We start from the raw sequence: 19182 nt of genomic DNA, 5'->3' as shown, positions 1-19182 counted from the left end.
CCATCCATTTATTACATCTTAACCAAGCTTTTTCTACCACAGAGTCTGCAACGTTCAAGAATGAATTTCACTCACATCGTCCCAGGACTGCCTCCTTGTCACTGAAGTCTCAGTTTAAATGTCAACTCCTCAGAGACTTTTCTTGACCAACCAATCTAGAGTGGCTCCTTCAACTGTCTTAGTCACATATCTGCTATGAAACAATTAACATGGCAATGACTATTTAAAATTATATACTAGTTTAGTTCTCTCCTCCACTAGAATGTAAACTCCATGAAAGAAGAGACCTTACTTTGCCCACCCCCAATCAGCATTCTAATCACCATAAGCCCAGCACCAAAAACAATGTCCAGCATTGTTTTTGAATGAAAAAGACCAATAAATAGTTGCTGAATGAATGAGGCCAAGGTCAGGAACACCACTCAAGTTCAAGGCAGTTTTTAATGTTCACTTGCCCTGCTGCAGGTTTGCCTTCACACTGTCCTGACTGCAATCATAAAAAGCGAAGGAAGATCAGACAGTATTCCTGGCCCCATTATCATGGGCAAAACAACTCCACCAAGGGCACATTCTCCTCAGATAAAAATGGCATTAGGAAAACCAGGCAAGGCAGGGCCACAAAATTGGACAAAGAAGTTCTCAACTTTATGATTATTATGGTTAAGAATTTTATTATCAAAATTATTACATCTCTTGTGAAAGTTCAAATGTTACAGCAAGGTGTAAACACTCCACTTGAGAAAGAAGTGATACTTCTTCCCTTCCAAGAGTTCCCCCCACCCCCCCGCCCCTACCCCCCCAAGAGGTCTGGTCTTGACAGCACCCTGCCCACACAGAGTGGCTGGGGTCTCTGCACGTGCCAGGCAGGGTGAGGGCCGCCTGCCCGCTGGCCTCTCCCCTTGGTTAAATAGCCAAGGGGAGAATGCAAACCCCAGCCCAAATGGAGAGACATTTACATACGTTTTATATAATATACAAAGAAACCAGCATCCCAGGCAACATGATTTCCACTCCCAATGCTCTCCCAGACTGATGGGTTTGTGGGGGAAACAACAAAAAGAAAAGTACTCTGCTGAGGTCTCAGCATTTAAAAAAAAAAAAAAAAAAAAAATCTCCCCTCATTTGAGCAAACACCTGATTTCGATTTTGAAAAGTGAAATTTTGTAACAGTCACACACAAAGAGAGAAGACTGTGCATATGATAGTTGTAGGACAGGGTAGAAAAGAAGGGGATGCAAGAGGCTGGGGAAAAAAGGAAAACAAATTAGAGGGAAGGAAGGAGGGAAACTCACAGTATTATCTTGTCCAAAAGAAAAGAAGGTCCACTGCAGCACCAGGGATTACACCTGTCATATATTCACTACCCCTACCATGGTTATAACTGAATACAAAATTAGATAAATAAAAACACGCCAGATATTACAGTAAACAAGTGAAAGAAATAAGCTGGCAACCATATGGAATTTAAAAAGATTGTGTACCCCACCTGGGCTGGCTCCAGGGCTCCTCCAGGGGTGTACAACAGGCACAATGCACTGATGGGGAGAAGCCGGTCTGCTCTCATCTCTCATCCAGAACAGTGTTAGGGGTGTGGGTGGCTTGGTAACTCTTTCACTGGGCCCACTCTCACATAAGCATCCCCCAGAGAAATGTGGGGCAGGCCCACACACAATCACAGTCCTGTCGGTGCCACTCCACAAACCTATCTTCCCACTCTTACCCTGCAGTCACAAGTGCATGCTCCCCAATCATGGAGGCGGTCCTGCTCATGGGATCATCAACTCCTGATTAATTGGGAGTAGAAAAAATAAAATTCGAAGCATTCCCAAACCACTCGGTATCCTTCCTAATGAAATTTATTGCCAAAAGCTGGTAAGTAGCAATGCAATTGGCCTATATCATGTCTCATTCCTCCTTTTCTTGTCTACTTACTTCATGGGTTACTGAGCTGTGAAATAGCTTGGGAAGGGGGAGTAGGATGGTAACAGTTGGAGGCTCAGACAATCTACTCAAATAATCTGCTCCCGAATAATCAAGAGCTGACCATGAGCTTTTCTTCAAAGAGCCAGGCACCCTCCAGTTGGTGCAGGTTCCAAGCTTTACTATCCTTGCCTATTTCTTGGTGATCTTAAGACAAAGATAAACAGTATTCTTGGTGGACACACATTGGCCAGATACCTGCTTTTGGAATGGTTGTCTTAGGATGAACATTTACATACCTACCTTTTTTCTTAAGTGCATAAAACCCTAACAGTACTCAGATGGCTTGGGGCTTTGAGATTGGCTCTTTTAACTTTTTTTCCTTTGAAAACTTTTTTTTTTTTTTTTTTTAAATTTAAAAAGATGTCCTCACTGCACAAGTGACTACGGGCTACAGGCAAGGATGGGAGACGGAGGCTTCAACACAACTCATTGCACTTAGAACCGTTACTAACCGAAACACCATTTGCTTGTCAACAATGTACCCTTGACAGCAGGGAGAAACTTCTTTATAGTCTCTGCTTCAGACAAGATTTACAGCTTTCTCCAAGGCCAGAGGCCAATTGTGACCACAAGTCTTGTTTCTTGTCCACCAGACCCAATCCTCTGGCACCTTGTACCCCCCGTTCCTCAGCAATATGCTCGGCCTAGGTTCCAGAGGCAGCTGGAAGGAAGCAGCTATGGGCTCATTCAGTTCTGTTTGCCCAAATCCAGAAGCCCTAGGAAAGTCCCGTCTGAGTCTTGACTCCTGACCCTTGCAGTGGCTGGAGTCGGTACTGGTGCACACCCCCACTCCCACGGTGTGGGTAGTGCTGTGAATTGGAAACCGCAGATACCCTGGAGGCCTGGTAGACAGCTGACTGCCCAGCACTGGGCAGACTGATAGTCCGTAAGTCTGATGGCAATGACGACCTAGAGTTCTGAGGAAAGGAGGTGGAACTCAGAGTTCCTGTGCTGGACTGAGAAACTGAATCTGAGGTTGGCGAGTCTGAGGGTCCCTGCAGGGTAGGGCTAGCAGCACTAGAAGGGCAGCTCCTCCTTGGAAGATTGCTGCCAGTGCTGTTTCCAGAATGTGGCTGGCTGCTAAAATACCCTGGTGTCCCCGTAAATGGGGCCAACGAGTCTGTGGACACAGGGTGGGCGGGGCTGGAATAGGACGTGGAAGAGAGGGATGATTCTGAAGAACCGTGAGAGGGGGGGTTTCCAGGTCTCAGTGCAGTAGTTCGATAACTGTATCCTGGAGACTGTGTAGGATGTCCTCTGAAGGGGGAGGAACTCTGCTGAAGGAGGCTTTGTGATTCTGTCCGAGGACTATCACACTGCAGGAGCTAGACAAAGTTGGGAGGAAACGAATAAGGACGCGAACAAGTCCCTTAAATGGCTGGTGAACATTTATAATACCCTACATTCTTTTTTCTTCATCTTTTAACCATGTATTCTTTTTAGGAAACCAAAGGCAGTAAAATGTCTGTCTTTGATCACCGTATTCATCTTCTGGCATAATTTATTACCTGAGGACAAGCAGATGATGACTTATTTCCAAGGCTGCTGAAACTATATGCAAAGACAGCATCTCAATGGCAAAGGATGACCAGGACAATTTGGGACCCAGAACACACTCCTATGGCTAGAGACCAGCAATTTCTCATCTCACCTGGTAGCTGTATCTGGAAGGGCTGTAAACTGTTGCTCCTTTAGAGAGTGCTGAGCTTAATGTCTCTGGGCCTTCTCCATCTGCAGGGTCTGGAAGGTAACATATATAAAAAAAAATCAACTTGGCTTCTTAGAATAAGTAAGAAAGAGCCATTTTTCATTTAAATCACCAGTGCCATCACCAACCCGTACTGCTCTCTTTGTGACAAATTGGGTGAGTGCAGCATGCCAGAAGGGCAAAATGAGTGGTTAATTATGGGCTATGTTCTAAATGCCTGATGTGATTCCCGTCTTCTTTCTCTTCATCCTTCATCGAGGTAGATTTCCAGGACTTTGGAGAGATGAGAGTTACAGAAAGGTATTCCTTGGGGAAAAAAGAGCAGACAGAGAGCAAGCAATGCTAGATCTTACAAATGTGGTAGCCCAAATGAGCATAAGTGGGCTGGAACCTAGCATGCGGTGGAGCCCAACTGCATCAGAAACTGACTCACCTCAACTCAGCACTAGGCATGAACTGTACAGGACTCGGCTCATGTGTCCCTGAATGTGGTGGCAGCAGAAGGCCATGGGCTCACCTGAGTCTTTCTCTGTGATGTTACTCTCCCATGTGGGAGAGGGCTCTCCCTTTTGGGCCACCCTCACGCTGCTTCGGAGGACCTTGGGGATGCTCCCTCCTTCTCGGAGTCGTTCTACTGATGTGGGAACCATCCTGTAAAGGCAACAGGGTGCAAGTTCAAGCCACAGGACTTAACCAAAACAAATGAAGCCCTAACCAGTGCACAGTGTATTTTCTTAAAACATCCTCTTAAACATTACTTTCTTCAGAACCAATTTAAAACAACGTATTTCCTCTGCCTCCAACTATGTCAGGCACAAAAGAGAAACATCAACAACAACCACTTTTAAAGAAAAAGAAATCAAGGAAAAAGTGGGTTAAAGATGTTAACTTCCCTTAACCCCCATTTAAAATGTTAAAATTTCTCCTTTAGGAAATCATGTGCCTGATACACAGTACTGGTTTAATAAAGGTTTCATAGATTAATGAACATGAAACATTTGAGCCAGGACTGTTCTTTCCCAGACTTATTTTTTTCAGTTCAAGATCCCTGAACTCCTGTGCTTCATTCTCTATTTCACACATTTGATCCTCAGTATTTGCCACCAGTATTATTCATTTTTAAATTTGTGGTCTCCCCTAAACCAGACAAATCCTTTCAGAATGTCTTTTTGCTCTGTATATGCTAGCTGTGTGGAAGAGAGACATCTGTTGTTAATTCATGTGGAACTTGGCTGGATTCTTGACTCACCTTTCATGTGAAATGAGAAATAGGAAAGGCAGTGTTAGTGCCCACCAAATGAAAGAGCTCATCTGCATCCATAACTACATGTCATCCAAAGCACTGCTCCACAGGCATGTTGGTAATTCTTAATTCTGCAAAGCTGGGGGGTTGCAGCTGACATTATTAAATCAGCTGAACAGGACAGATGGTACTGTTGGCTGGCTGTCTCAGATGTTCCCATCAAGTGTTCCCATAGATTTTAGGTAAAACTGGGAATGATCTTAGATATATACTCCCCCCCACCCCCAATTTAACTATAAAACATCAAATATAAACTTACCACCTACTGCTGATATTCTCTTGAGGTCTGCAGTGAGATGAAGAAGTGCCTCTGGAATCTGATGGGCTTACCGCCTCCAAATGGGACATAGAGGAATGAGATGGGGAGAATTTTTTGTGAGGGGAAGATGGAGTTCGGGCTGAGGATCCCTGCACACCATGGGCACCAGTGTCGGAAACGGAGTTACTGCTGCCTTGCCCAGCTCCTGCAGACTTGCTTTTGCTCTGTGCAGAGTCACCTCCCCCACCAGCAGAATTTTCCTTAGCTTCTTGTTTCCGTTTTCGGTACTCCAGCAGGGATACCTAGAAAGGAAAAAACAAACAAACAAAAAACGGTACTCTATCTGGATATCATTAGTGGATCACCAGCAACAGGGAAAGAAGGAAAGATGGTACCTTAGTAAACCACTAGCCAAGCCACGCAAACAAAGCAGACACCAACCCTGATAACTTTTTTTGGGGAGTATGAAAGAGATCTGAGCACAGCTACATATTTAAGGCAGCTGGAAATTGGTAAGAGGAAGATAATAAACTAGGAGGCAAGTCTCTAAAGAATGTTTGCCAATTAGACCACCATCTTTTTTTCTGCCTTCAGAAAAACTTGTGAGGTTACCATTACACAGTAACAGAAGCATGCTATCACAGTTATTTGCAACAATGGAAGTACCTAGAGAAGGGAGAATTGGAAGCTTGTATAGTTTAAAAAGCCTCCCAGGTGACTGATGGCTGTTCTGTACTCCTTGGGAACCCCTAGAGTTAGCTGTTTGAGAGAAAGAAGCAGGGAGAGGAGAAGGAGATGGAGGAGAGGGAGGTGGGGAGAGGTAGGTGGAGAGAGAGAGGGAGAGAGAGAAGGAAAAACAAAACAAAACAGAAGAAAAACCCAATGCTCCAGGATACTTAAATATGTTCAAATTTTCAAGATATAAATAGGAATTTATTACTGTTTCTGTCTTACACATAGATGTAATTAATGTAAAAAGAGAGGAAATTATTATTTCCAGTTTATAATTTTAGCAAGCTAGCTCTAGAAAACAACTTGGTAACTTCTCCCTAACTTCCCCTTCATCTCCCTAATGCTTGCTCATTCTTTCCTGACAGCAGACCTCCCATCCCACCCTGCCCACCATAATCCGTGCCCTGCCTAGTACACCTTCTCTTTGTTGTTCTGGCACATTGCTTACACAGGCCGTAGAACCTATTACCATGCCTTGATTGCTCCCTGACTAAACTATAAGTTCTAGGAAGGCAAAGGCCAAGTTTATCTGGCTTTTTATCTTTAACATCCAGCACAGAATTTGGCATATGCTTAAATTTATGCTTAAATGTGCCCAATAAATTTCAGAAGTGTTTCTGAAATAAAATATCATAATTTCTATGACTTTTGCACATAGTAAATATTATAAAACCAGAAATCCAAAGATTGTTTTCATGTTTGTTTCTGGTAGTCAATGCTGTTCACGCAACAATCTTCGAAATCAATTATTATCTTAATCCAAATTATCTGCCAATGTTTCCTCCTCCTTCTATCCCCTTAGGGTTCTCATTTTTCTGTCCAAATGGAACAAAAATATAGACAGTTTTGCATATGCATTTTCTAGAAATAATTTTGGAAAGAAGTTAATAAATTCTGGTAATATCATTATAATGAAAATATAAAAAAACCACTAGGTTTCATTTCAATGAGGATACTACAGATGTTTGGCCATTACATGGGACTGTCCCCTATACAGGACATTCAGCATCCCTGGCCCTGCTCAATAAATGCAAGTCACTGGGACAATTCAAAACACTCCTACTCATTCTCAAACACCCCTAGTTGAGAACCACTTATACAAAAGCATATTTTTGGCTTTGTGACTTCTTGATCAGGCATTACTTGGAAGTGGAGTCCCAACCCATTAGCAAGCTCTCTATGGCCTGGCCCAGCCCAGCACTCTCTGCACTTTCCTCCTGGCTCCCCCGGCCTTCCACCTGATACAACAACATCCAACTGTTTGCACCATACTGCATGCCTGCTGCCTGGCCAATGGAGTGCCACCTAATTACCTGTTCTACTCCCTCTACTGTAACATACCTCACCCTCAATTGTTGGTTGGCTGACTCCTACTTATTGTTTGAGATTCAGTTAAATCAGTAACCTGCTGCCTCTCACTCCAGCCTTCTCTCTCAAACTGGGTAGTATCCTGGTCCTTCCATTTACTAGCTGTGTGACCACGGGAAAGTTACTCAACTTGCCTTAGTTTCCTCATGTGCAAAATAGAAAATTGCCTATCTTATAGGCTTACTGTGAGGATAAAACACATTTAAAGAGCTTAATACAGTGCCTCGAACTTGGGACACACTAAATAATAGGTAAAATTTCTTTTTCACTGTTCTAACCTCTCAATTGCCTAGCAAGTATATGGCACATACAGGCATTTACATTTGCTGAATATTTACAACATTCACCAAGTTGTACTAAAACAGCCTGTCTTTCACTGGATTTGGCAGAGACTATGTCTCACTTGTCTGAGAGTAGTGCGGAACACATAGCAGAAACTTATGAATATCTACTAAACTACTTGGTTAACATTCTTGAAAAGTTCGCCGATATAACATGAAACACTTACTTTTTTCCTCTGTGGTGGGTTCTGGGGGGCAGATGGGACTCCTTCACAGGCCCTTTCACCACCAGGTGACAAGGATCCACGAGAGAGGTCTTTCATTAAGCCATGTTCATATCTGCTGGAAAATCCTTCTGCAGGGGAACAATATCCCCCATCCAAATGTAAAGGCTTCCTATCCCCCACTAGAGGAGATCCTCGATACAGTCCATCTGCTCGAGGCATAGCATTCAAAGGGGAGTAGGCATACATCAAGTTGAACTCTGTCCGAAATGCCTGGTCTGAGTTTCTCACGAGGGTCTGATGTCCATCTCCACTTCTGCTTGGGAAACCAGTCTCAGAAGTGGGTCCGAGGGAGGGATGAGGAGCCAGGTCAGAATGACCTGAGTTGAGTAGGGAAGGTCTATCAGCACAGCTGTTAGTGTTGGAGTCAAGGTATCCTACTTTTGCCAAATCCAGGTCTTTTCGGTGACAAAGCTGAAAGAATAAAAATCAACGGAGACATGGGGTAGGGGAGAAAGGAAAAAGTCAAAGGGCAGAAAGGAGGGGAGAGGGACACAGGTGAACAGGGAAAGATAAGAGGGACGGAAGTAGAGCAGATAAAGCCATTATATTCTGTAAAAGTCCCACGTAGCAACAGTGTACATGGGCCAGAGTACTAAAGAATCCTGGCCTTTCCAAAATTGCTTTCAAGTCTTTCTGGATGGGAAATACTGGGAAAGTTAGAATTAGGTAATTGGCTAAATGTGACTATTTTGCCTGCTTAGCCTTTCATCAGGTTGCTGAGTCACCTTGTACTACACTAAGGGACAAGTGGTATAATTAGGAATTTACCTTAGCCCCATGCACAAAACAAAGATGAGACTGGTGTCTTAAGATAACTGGCTTCCGGGGTTATCAATTTCTAAATTAATATTGATGGAAGGTGGGGGGAAGGGAAAAAGGTGGAGGAAGGAGAAGGTAGACGGAAAGGCAAGTACTTAAGTTACTGGTTCAGTAAAGGAGGATGGCATTAAAGACATCAACCAACCAGTTCTTCACTCACTTTCACTGTTAAAGAAGCTGTGTTTCTCATACAACTTTCTGGCCACTCAATTCTTCTTTATCCTCTAATGTACGTCAACATACCACAAGACCACTAATGCTCATCACTGCAGATTCTGAAATGCTGAAATGTACCAAAAATAAACCCCACCTACTATTTGGTTATCATAACCTCCAAACTTCCAACACTAGGTCAACTACAGCTAACCGACAAAGAATGGTACCAGAAAACCAGATACCATACCATATCAGTCTTCAAATTACGTTATCTTAGAATCTTTAACAACTGAGGAGAGAGAGCTTTACTTTCCTAACAAGCTAGAGTCAAAACACCAAGAAAATCTCTAATATACTAGTGGAATAAAACCTTTTTCAGTTTCATATTAACCTGTGAACTACTACTGATTCAGAACTTAGTAGACTGTCACTGAATTATGCCCTAATTTTTTATTGGAAGGGGATAGGGTTAAAGTTCAGTTGACTATTTCTGAGAGACTCTAACTTTCTCTTCAAGAGAAAAAAGGTCCCATGTATTAATAGATTCAGAGTTAATGTTACTAAATCTGAAAGCTTATAATAGAAACTCTAGCACTAAAATCTGAGTTTGACATATCCACAGCAGTAGGGTTTGTGAGAAAACCACTCTACTGATATCCTAAAGAGATAACACTTGTATAGCAACCATATCCTAACCATTGCAGAATGGTGGCCTGTGACAGAAAGCCAGGGACTCACTTGGTTTCCTTGTGCACCCAGTAAGGAGCTGCAGAGAAAATGTAGGAAAGCTGAAAGACAGAATGACTTTCCCTTCCTGAAGAAGCTGCTCAATCTATCAACCAAAGGTCAAAACATCTGGTTTACAGAGCTGTTAGATTAACCCTAGAACAAGGCATAAGTCACCACCCAACTCAAAAAACAGCTCTTACAACTTTTGACTCAACTTTCCTGATTTATTAGCCTTTCTTTAACAAGGCTCCTACCACATATCAGCATCTTGACTTCTAGATTCTATTCTTTAATAGAACTCCAGCCACCCCCTCCCCCAAACGGCAAAAACCAACCCCACCAAACACACACACAACACACACACACACAAACACACACGCTCCTACCTTCATTTTCCTCCATCTACATTGACAGTCCTGTGTAGTCACAGTCACACAGGAAGACTCATTCAACTTACTGTGACTGAGTGGCCGCCCTCCAGCCCATCACCCCACTGACTCAGATCCCCAGCCCTCCCCACACACTCAGGAACACATTCATGAACACTCACTCTCAGCCTCCAAGTGTGATTGAGATGGTGTGATAACTACCTCGGGTGACAGGGACTCGGGCCTATGCGCAGGGGAACTCTCAGGGGAGGATATGTTCTAGAGGAGGGAAAAGCATCTTGTTATTATTCATCTACTCGAAGTCAAGAAGCAAAACAAAACAAAAAATAAAAGCAAGCATAGATGTTAGCCATAACTTTTTTCGGGGGCGGGGAAGTTGAATAAGAATGCATAGGGGAAATATTTAACTGCAGAACTCATCTCAATGGACAGAATGACTTGTTAAAATGCTTCCTGGTATCTCTGAAAGCATTTAAGGATAAATTGGTTATAATGTTTCATGCTGTAAGTAAACATCTCAAGCACATACAAGGAAAGAGTTAGACTGGTGAAATTTTAGTGTTATACGTCTTTGTATTTTAGATGAGAGTTTAGCAACCTACAGTATTTGTTATTGAGGGGCACCCTACCCCTTATTCCTCCTTACATGGACCTTGTTCCTTCATCCAATGCCTCTTCTGCTTGTCACATTTCTTTATTCTCTTATATGCCTCAGGCCCTCCCAGTGCTATCCAGGGGGAGACATTAGTGTGCTGGGGGCTGACATGGTTAGGGAGATGGCCAGTTCCTCTTGAATGACAGTTACAGGAAATGTGATTGATGGAATCCCTAGCTCACAGGCTAGAGTTGGTTCTTGGCATAATCTAATTAGACCTGAGCCACCCCTATTAATGTTATTTTGTAAAATCCATTGTACTTTTGGCAACAGAGCAGAAAAAGCATGTATGTGTATACTTAGGTCCCTGTATCCTACAGAGGGTAGGACTTTACCTTGGGACTTTCAGGTGAGGCAGCAGTCCCATAACAGAGACTGAGCAGTGAGTGCTTAATGGAAAGATGTAAATGGGAACACGTGAAGAGAGTGAAGGTGGTAGTGTGACAATGACTCAGGGGTGCTAGGGCTGAGGTAAGGAGAGGGTGCCTAATGTAGACTCTGAATAACTGTGGCCTAGGTGGCAGGCACATGCTGAGGTAGGGGAAATGAGGCTGCTTCAGCAAAGCAGGGTTTTGGCTGTGAATTTTACTTGGCATGGACAGTGGGTGGTGTACATCTAGGTGCACGTATGTGTGAAATGGCGGGTGGAGTATGGCTCTCAGGGCAAGAATAGGAGGGGAGGGTTATTCTGGTAGAAAGGAGAGGCTAACTAAGCTTGTCCTCCCAATGTTGCTTCCACTCTTCTTTCTAGATGCTTTCCCCTCCTGAAGATCTTGTTCTCTTCCACTGTTTATCTTCTTACCTTCTTCCCCTTAGCACTTAAGACTTCTCACCATTTTCCTGAATGCTTTTTTCCTTCTCAAAAATATCCTTCCCCAAACTAATCTAGTAAGGTTGTTTTTTTTTTTTTTTTTTTTTTTTTGAGAGAGAGTCTCCCTCTGTTGCCCAGGCTGGAATGTGGAATGCAGTGGCGCAGTCTTGGCTCCCTGCAACCTCCCAGGCTCAAGCAATTCCTTTGCCTTGGCCTCCCGAGTAGCTGGGATTACAGGTGTGTGCCACTGTACCTGGCCTAAGCTGGTCTTTAAATTATTTTTAGAGATGGGATCTCACTGTTGCCCAGGCTGGCATGTAGTGGCACAATAATGGCTCACTGCAGTCTTAAACTCCTGGTCTTAAGTGATCTTCCTGCTTCAGCCTCCCAAGTAGCTGGGACTACAGGTATATGCCACTACACCTGGCTAAGTTTTGTATTTTATTTTTGCAGAAATGTGGTCTCACGATGTTACCCAGGCTGGTCTCAAACCCCTGGCCTCAAGCAATCCTCCTGCCTCAGCCTTCCAAAGCACTGTGATTACAGGTGTGAGCCACCATGCCCAGCCTAAGCTGGTCTTTATACGTGACACCTTTTTGATATTTCACAATGTGTCACAGCCTTTGCTACAAAAAAGGCTCCCCACCTCTCTGTACTAGAATACAGCAAAGAGTATGGCCATTAAAATGGTGATTAGAATGGGTCAGGGTGGTGAAATCTGTTCTATTATTGATGAGAAAGGTAAAATTTCCTTAAATTGCAAGTGAAACCATGCCTTGGACCTTTTACTATTTAATATTTTCCTTCCCTCCTGGTATTCTAACATTATGCATGGACTGTATTATTAAAATGATCACCAATTAAAAAAAACAAAACAAAACAAAACCAAAACCACTTTATATTTGCAGTGTTTAATAGTTATCCCAAATGCTACAAGGGATAAGGAACACACTGAGTACTGAACCCGCTTGTTTTGCAAAGTGACTTACCTTCTGATTTTCTTTTTTTTTTTTTTTTTTTTTTGAGACGGAGTCTTGCTCTGTTGCCCAGGCTGGAGTGCAATGGCGCGATCTCGGCTCACTGCAAGCTCCGCCTCCCGGGTTCACGCCATTCTCCTGCCTCAGCCTCCCGAGTAGCTGGGACTACAGGCGCCCACTACCACGCCCGGCTAATATTTTGTATTTTTAGTAGAGACGGGGTTTCACCACGTTAGCCAGGATGGTCTTGATCTACTGACCTCGTGATCCGCCTGCCTCAGCCTCCCAAAGTGATGGGATTATAGGTGTGAGCCACTGCGCCCGGCCTCCTTCTAATTTTCATAATTCCACATTTATAATAAAACCTGTATTGATAAAGTATGACACTCTATTCCTATAATCTTATGCCCTCCAGGGAGAATTCCTCTCATGATACCTTACTATAAAGCTCTAGGTGCAAACTGCAAAGTCAATTGCAAGTAGACAAAGTCAAGTTAGAAAGGCCTGAATCAGCTGCTTTATTATCTGGCTGAAAGAATTTCATAAATAATCTGGTAAAGAGTAATTTCCCTAGATAACTGATATGTAACCAGGAGGTTTTTTCCCTCACCCAGAAAGAGGTCTGCTCCAAAAGTAGAGGTCTAGGGTAAGAAAGAATACAGTTCTGCTTTCAATGTTGCTAGCTGCCTCTTAGTTACTCATAAAAGCTAAGTATTCTGAATCCTCATACTTGGAAAAGCTGAATAGGAAACGTAAGATTGGTTAAAATGTTCACCTTTCTCAAAAAACACATCTGGAGAAGTGCAAACAAGGGGGCAGAGCAGCAGAGTGTGTTTAGTGGTCAGAACAAATTTTTCTGAGAAGGAAAAAAGAGACAGTGTCCATTTTAATTACAAATCAAAGTAACATGCAATAGATGAAGTGTTTTAAAAAAGTATACATGGATTCTATTGAAACCTGCTGTCACCCAAACCTGAACACTAAAGTGATTCAAGATTACTTTTTGAAACAGCTGAGGCAGACATTTCTAACTTAATCCAACAGTGAAGGTAATAAATTTGTCTCATGAATACATGTTGCTAGCCTCTTGTCTACTTCTGATTCCTAAGACATTATAACAAAGAGGGAAAGTAACCTGGAGTGGAAAAAACCCACATTCGCCATAAGCCATACCCCAATGTTTTCTAAATCTCTGCTAAGGCCACAATGAAAATACCAAACAACCTGGGAAAGACACTTCACTTATTTAAAGGCCTAGAAACGAAGACACAATCAATCAATATCATCTGTGCTCTCAGGCTAGTGTTACTAACAGATACTACAGGCAGCTAGAGGCCTATTTTGACCAAAGTATACAGTAAAGATAACGATGGAGATCTAGCATGCTTACTACCTAAACTTATGGAGATTGATGGACTGCATGCAAAAGATACATGAATGGGATTTGTGGTAGCAGTATGCCTATTTTGGGAAGCATAGGGGCTGCCAAGATGAGAGGCTACCAGGTAACAGGCCACAATGACCCTGAGGTTTCCCATTCTCTTACTGAGATGGGGAAGAAAGATAGTAAAGAAACATTTGGAATGGTATTATATTTGAAATGAGAAGGTACAAATGATGATTTTCATATCCAGCACTCCCAGCAACCAAACCCAAATCACCTCAAACTGTAGAGGAGTGTTGCAGCGACTAGCAGTAGTAAGAGATGTGACTGGTGAAAACATGAGGCTGTATCCATTTCGACACTCCTCTTCTCCTGGGTGAGATGAGCCAGGTGTGGCCAGCTGGGGACTCTTTGAGCCTGAATTGGGAGGGGGTGGTGTGACTGGAGACAGAGGCCGAAGTAACTTGGTGACATTCTGCTCCATCAGATAGCGAGACTTCCATTTCTTTAATGGGCTCAACAAGTCTGTGAAACACAAAGCTTGGATGAGAGTTTGAAACCACAGATTAATTTAAGGCTCTACAGTAAAGCCATTAATCTGTAATCTACAATGGCTCTTAACTGTTTTCTGCCTCATCCCATTAAGTTATCTCCTCCAATCCAACCAAAATCCCAAAGAAACTCTTTAATTACCATGCTTAAAATAACTCTGAAAACATTCTATCTCCCAAACTCCAGGTAAATCAAATGTGACTGATCTCTAATTTAATTTCTACCAGTGCAAAATATAAAATTCTTTCATTTATTCATTTATTTATTTATGAGACAGAGCCTTGCTCTGTCGCTAAGGCTGGAGTGCAATGGCATTTACTTAGCTCACTGCAACCTCCGTCTCCCGGGTTCAAGTGATTCACCTGCCTCAGCCTCCCGAGTAGCTGGGATTACAGGCATGCACCACTACACCTGGCTAATTTTTGTATTTTTAGTAGAGATGGCATTTCACCACGTTTGCCAGGCTGGTCTTCAACTCCTGACTTCAGGTGATCTGCCCGCCTTAGACGCCCCAAGTGTTGGGATTACAGGCGTGAGCCACTGCTACAGTTCTTTCTTTTACATTGAGTTTCTGAAAAGTCTTTGTTACTGTGTTACAGTTACCCTCTACTAAACTGCTATATCACCAACTAAAGGTACTGGGATGCTAAATCCAAATTCCTTTCACCATCTCTTATATATGTGTGTCCCTTTTCAGAAGCTCTTTCTATTCTTATATGATTCCTTGATCCATGTCTAGCCCCTTTTCTACCTAAAAAGCATGAAATGATTTCTACAAAAACTTCTCCCAACCATTAAAAAATTAGGTTCACATTCTTTTTGACTAGAATAATCCTATTTTCTGTACTTCTTAGATCCACTTAAAAAGCAAGTCACTACACTAAATATTTTAGTGACCATTTAGGTCAAAGCACCTTTCTCACTTGATTCTCAGAATAAAAATACAGTTTTATTCATTTACAGTTAAAAGTATATATATTTAATACCTACTGATTACTGAACTAGGTATGAAGGGAAAAATGGTCATCATACATTCTATTTTCAAGAGGCTTAAAATTTGTAAGAAATAGAAACAGGGCCAGGTGTGGTGGCTCATGCCTATAATCCCAGCACTTTGGGAGGCTGAGGCAGGCAGATCACTTAAGCCAGGAGTTTGAGACCAGCCTGGCCAATATGGCAAAACCCTGTCTCTACTAAATACACAAAAAAGATTAAGCAGGAGTGGTGGTGCATGCCTGCAGTTCCAGTTACTCAGGAGGTGGAGGCACAAGAATCACTTGAACCCAGGAGGCAGAGGTTGCAGCGAGTTGAGACTGCACCACTGTACTCTAGCCTGGGTGACAGAGGGAGGAGACTGTCTCAAAACAAAACAAAACGACACAACAAAAAAAGTGAACACATTAGTATTAGCATGATCAAGAAAGGTGATCATATTGCTATGTGTTAGTTAAAAAAAAAAAAAAGCTGTATTTTCTAAATGATGATTATATACCACAGACTATGCCATGTGCTTTATTGTGAAATATCTAATTTTAACAACTCTATAAATCAAGCACTATTATTATCATCCCCATATTAAAGGTGAGAAACTTGATGTGTGGAGAGAGACAAAACAGGTATTCTTGCTCCCATATATCTACATTCTTAATTTTTGTATTTTTAGTAGAGACAGGGTTTCACCATGTTGGCCTTGAATTCCTGACCTCAAGTGATCCACCCACCTGAGCCTCCCAAAGTGTTGGGATTACAGCCATGAGCCACCACGCCTGGCCCCATCTATCTATATTCTTTTTTTCTTTTTTTTTTTTTTTGAGACGGACTCTTGCTCTGTCACCTAGGCTGGAGTGCAGCGGCACGATCTCGGCTCACTGCAAGGTCCGCCTCCCAGGTTCACACCATTCTCCTGCCTCAGCCTCCCGAGTAGCTGGGACTACAGGTGCTCGCTACCACACCCGGCTAATTTTTTGTATTTTTAGTAGAGACGGGGTTTCACCATGTTGGCCAGGATGGTCTTGATCTCTTGACCTCGTGATCCACCCGCCTCGGCCTCCCAAAGTGCTGGGATTACAGGCGTGAGCCACCGCGCCTGGCTCCATCTATCTATATTCTTAATCAATAGGTTAAAGTATATCCCCAAGGCTTGGTGGATGGAAGGAGTGACATTTATTCCAGGCCTTCAAGGAAAATTTTTGGGCCAGGAAGATTATCTGGAAGCAATGGTCAGTATGAGACTAGTAACTGGGAAACCATCTGGAGTTAACACAGTAGTTAGCAAAGAATTATGAGGCACTAAACTAGGGTAGGAGATGTTTAGATGAAGAGGGAAGAATAAATGCAAAAAATTATTGAAGATGCATATTTTTCCTTTCTGATATCTCAGGATTTTTAATATTCCTAGATTGGAAGTATATTCACATCTTCCTTTTGTTCCAGATACTAAATTTTCTTTCCTCCTTTTAAAAAGTGCCTAGGTATAAAACAGAAACAAACATGTAATTCATGGCTTATATTCGGAATAACTTTTATATATTTAATATTTCAAGGGTCTTAAACAATGGAATCTTACAGATCTCTGTACTGCTAGGTCCAACACTATAACTATCAAAGTCAATTATGTTAAGTGATGAAGTTAGTTGTAGAAAGGAGTTATAAGATACAGGTGAAATCTGCCACGTGCAAATCAATGTACAAGGCATTCATTCAACATATATTTACTGAGTACTTATTATGATACTGTATTCAACAAGAGACCTGATGTCTGCCCTTAAGAAGTTTACAGGCCAAAGAAAGCCAAGTCATTTGCCTACTTTTTCTCTTTTTCCTGCATATATAGTTTCCAAATTTTATGTGGTCAAATCTATCCATCTTTTATTATTATTATTTTTCACCTTTACTCAAAAAATTACCAAGGTTATACAGCACATACACAACCTGAAAATCATATCCACAAATAAACGCATGCTAATATCCTGGTAAATTTTTATCGAGACATTGCTTCACTGACTCTTGCCTTACCTAAACTACTCAGTAACTATTTTCACTCAGAAATACATGGTCAACATTTTATGACAATGAATAGAAATCTACAGTTCAGGTTTAATGACTGCACAACATTAGTATTATCAAAATTTAACCAACTTTTTTTTCATTTTTTGCTATTAGAACAAATGGCTACATGTAGGATTATTAAATCAAAAGAATATCTATATATGTGTAGTTTATATTTAGTCCTGTGAGAACTGCTGGCTCATGTTCTTCAGCCTGCATTCTACTGAGGTGTTGGGGTCTTTTTCTTCATCTGTAAGGGCTCTTTAAATAGTAAGAATGTTGACCCCTTGTCAATAAAATTACAAATGTATTTTCCCAGTTTACTGATTGCCTTCAATTTTATTTACAAGTCTCTGCTATATGTTTTGTTTCTATTTAGTCAAACGGATCACTTTATTTTCTGCTTCTGATATCATGTCTTTGCTAACCCACCCTGACACTGTAAAAATGCCAGCCTATTTTCCTTTTGTCTCCATGTTTAATTTTTAATTTAGATTTTAATTAAAAAAGAACATTTTATTTCACACTGACAAACTGCCATTACAAAAAAGGAAAAAAGAACATACTTAAATATGGGGTAGCAATTAATCCATCCTTTCCCCATAACAAATAGCCAGCACCTTCTTCCAAAATCTTCTGTAAATGTAGAATAACTATAATTTCCCTATTAATTTGAAATATATTTATCTTATTAGATTCTTACATATACTGGGCTTATCTTCTGAATGTTTATTTCCGAATGTTATTCTTTCCACTTATTGTCCAATACTGAATCAACACCAGCATACTTTTTATTAAAATTGTTAGGGAAATTCCAGTTATTCTGTTCTAGTTCTCCAAAATATTTTAGCTATTCTAGCAATGAACTATAGAAGTCATTCAATGACCATGCTCATACTATTAAAAAAAAAAAAAAAAGTTAGGATTTTGATTGGTGTTAGATGAAATTCAGGAGTAATTTGAGAAGCATTCTTACCCAGGAACATGGCATAATCTTTGTTATTCACATATTATGTCCCTCTTCATCTATATATACCACATGTCTAATTAAGTTTACTCTCCAGAGTTCTTTAGTTTTTTTTTTTTACTACTATGAATAAAACGTATCTCTCCCTTTGTTATCTAAATGTTATTAACATTTAAAAAGTTTACATACTTATTTTTTATCCAGTTACCCTATTAATCTCTACCAGTTTTTCAATTAACTCTCTAGGTAGATAATAGTATTTGTACATGATAACACATTAACCCTCTTTACCAGTACTTATATCTCTTATGTTGATTTTTTTTGTGGGGGGGAGGGGGTTGGTGTAATTACTTTGGCTAACAATTACTTAGACTATATTAAATAATAATGGTAATAGTGGGATAATTTGATAGCCTATTTTGATGTTTAACTAGTTTTCATGATGCATGACAACTGGCAATTTTTCAGCTAGATATTAAAAGATCATAGTATGTTATTTTATCATTAAATTGATAAAAGTCACTGTGTTATGACTTCTCCTCCCCCATTTGACCTGCTAACAAATGACGATTATTAAATTTTCAAATATTAACTCATCCTTACATTCCTAGAAGGAACCTTAGTCATCGTATATTCTTCTTTTAATATTCTTTTTTTTTTTTTTTTTTGATGGAGTCTCGCTGTCGCCCAGGCTGGAGTGCAGTGGCGAGTAGCTGGGATTACAGGCGCCTGCCACTATGCCCGGTTTTTTTTTTTGTTGTTGTTGTTGTATTT

The 19182-nt window shown here is 41.3% G+C and overlaps 1 protein-coding gene across 50 annotated transcripts in view; it reads right to left on the bottom strand.

The window, feature by feature from the left end:
- The window catches only part of SETD5 (SET domain containing 5), an 80540-nt gene continuing 61994 nt past the window's right edge, over positions 637-19182 (bottom strand). For 23 of the 50 annotated variants that reach the window (XM_047448468.1, XM_047448473.1, XM_047448474.1 and 20 more), the window contains 7 exons: positions 14119-14366; positions 10216-10272; positions 7862-8332; positions 5254-5555; positions 4209-4342; positions 3635-3723; positions 637-3308 (listed from right to left, as the gene is read on the bottom strand). In XM_047448468.1, coding sequence (XP_047304424.1) covers positions 2700-3308; positions 3635-3723; positions 4209-4342; positions 5254-5555; positions 7862-8332; positions 10216-10272; positions 14119-14366 — 1910 coding nt within the window. In that variant the 3' untranslated portion in view covers positions 637-2699. Of the gene's footprint in view, positions 3492-3634; positions 3724-4208; positions 4343-5253; positions 5556-7861; positions 8333-8902; positions 9024-10215; positions 10273-14118; positions 14367-19182 lie in introns of those variants that run through there. The other 27 variants (XM_047448482.1, XM_047448487.1, XM_047448496.1 and 24 more) reach the window with 6 other exon arrangements.

Source organism: Homo sapiens, chromosome 3 (genome assembly GCF_000001405.40).
Source record: "Homo sapiens chromosome 3, GRCh38.p14 Primary Assembly".
Taxonomy (NCBI): domain Eukaryota; kingdom Metazoa; phylum Chordata; class Mammalia; order Primates; family Hominidae; genus Homo; species Homo sapiens.
The sequence above is the reverse complement of the archived record's forward strand: the minus strand, read 5'-3'. Positions and strand labels throughout refer to the sequence as shown.